Below are 1949 nucleotides of genomic sequence, written 5' to 3' on the forward strand. Positions count from 1 at the left end.
TCTGCAGGACCAGAGAGTAAATATGTACAGTTTTGTGGGCCATGCAGCCGCCACTGCAACTGTTCAACTCAGTCTGTGGATTGAAAAAGACCATCTAGAAAAAACCCACAGTGGGATTCCAACAGGGCTTTTTTTTTCTTTTCTCTTTTCTTTTTTTTTTTTTTTTTCCCCAAAATGAGGCAGTGAGACAGGTACCAGTAGTTTGTGGATCCCTATTATAAACAAATGCTTTTTACATATATTTATTATTATTATTATTATTATTATTATTATTATTACTATTAGTATTATTTTCAGATGGAGTCTTGCTGTGTCATCCAGGCTGGAATGCCACAATGTGATCTCAGCTCTGCAACCTCCCTCTCCCAGGTTCAAACAGTTCTCCTGCCTCAGTCTCCCAAGTAGCTGGGATTACAGGTGCATGCATCACCACGCCCAGCTAATTTTTGTATTTTTAGTAGAGATGGGGTTTTACCATGTTGGCCAGGCTGGTCTTGAACTCCTGACTTCAAGTGATCCGCCCACCTTGGCCTCCCAAAGTGCTGGGATTACAGGCATGAGACATCGCGCCCGGCCATATTTATTCTTATAGTTCCTTTGTTTTTGCCTTATGACAATTAATTCTATGCTGTTTGGTACTTAGCTGTCTAACAATGTGAAAATTTTATTGCAATGTGGATTGTTGACTTTTTCACTAAGTGCAGTTCCTAGCCCTGTTTAGTGTTCTTTCTCCTGAATTCAACCTTTAATCATATTAAAATTGTGGTTCTGTTTTTCGTTTGTATTTGGTGGGTCTGCATTTTTCTTGTTTATTTTCAACACTCATAAATCACTTTTCAGAAACATCTCCTTTATTAAGTGGATGGATGAATATTAGTTAGGGATTCATCAAGTAAATAGACGCATTTTATGAACTCTTTTTTTCCAGATTGGACGCATATCGTTGGTGTTAACTTCGTGATACTTTCCTGAGTTTACTGTTTTCACATTTCTTTTAGAATTTTTCATTGTATGATTCATGTTATTTTCAGTTTTACTATTAGTTTTAGTTTCTGTTTCTTTGTTCTAATTACAGAACATTTATTTTGTTATAATTATTTCTATAGTGATAATTTTCTGTCATATTAATTCTTTATTTTCCCACACGATATCTATGGATTCATGTTGTGAGTAGTGGGGACATTCATTTATTTCTATGTTTTTCCCTCTGCCTTCTTTCACGCGCGTTGGTGTAAAGAGACCACTAAACAGGCTTTGTGTGAGCAACAAGGCTGTTTATTTCACCTGGGTGAAGGCGGGCTGAGTCCGAAAAGAGAGTCAGCAAAGGGAGATAGAGGTGGGGCTGTTTTATACGATGTGGGTAAGTAAAGGAAAAAGAGGGATTGTTCTCTGGCAGGCAGGAATGCGGGGGTCATGAGGTGCTCAGCAGGGGAGCTTTTGAGCCAGGATGGGCCAGGAGAAGAAATTTCACAAGATAACGTCATCAGTTAAGGCAGGAACAGGCCATTTTCACTTCTTTTGTGGTGGAATGTCATCAGTTAAGGCAGGAACTGGCCATCTGGATGTGTACGTGCAGGTCACAGGGGATATGATGGCTTAGCTTGGACTCAGAGGCCTGACATTCCTGTCTTCTTATATTAATAAGAAAAATAAAATGAAATAGTGGTAAAGTGTTGGGACGGCGAAAATTTTTGGGGGTGGTATGGAGAGATAATGGGTGATGTTTCTCAGGGCTGCTTCGAGCAGGATTAGGGGTGGCGTGGGAACCTAGAGTGGGAAGGATTAAGCTGAAGGAAGATTTTGTGGTAAGGGGTGATATTGTGGAGTTTTTAGAAGAAACATTTGTCATGTAGAATTATTAGTGGTGGCCTGGATATATTTTTGTATGAATTGAAAAACTAAATGGAATAAAAGAAGGAGAAAAACAGGTATTAAAGGTCTAAGAATTG

At 38.9% G+C, this 1949-nt stretch overlaps 1 annotated feature.

The window, feature by feature from the left end:
• Nucleotides 1174–1744: an enhancer, noted in NCBI's record as "OCT4-NANOG hESC enhancer chr8:5293944-5294514 (GRCh37/hg19 assembly coordinates)". NCBI's record gives its function as "activates a minimal SCP1, AML or CMV promoter by ChIP-STARR-seq in naive H9 embryonic stem cells {active_cell/tissue: H9 hESC(naive)}" and the evidence as "EXISTENCE:reporter gene assay evidence [ECO:0000049][PMID:30033119]".

Source organism: Homo sapiens, chromosome 8 (genome assembly GCF_000001405.40).
Source record: "Homo sapiens chromosome 8, GRCh38.p14 Primary Assembly".
Classification (NCBI taxonomy): Eukaryota; Metazoa; Chordata; class Mammalia; order Primates; family Hominidae; genus Homo; species Homo sapiens.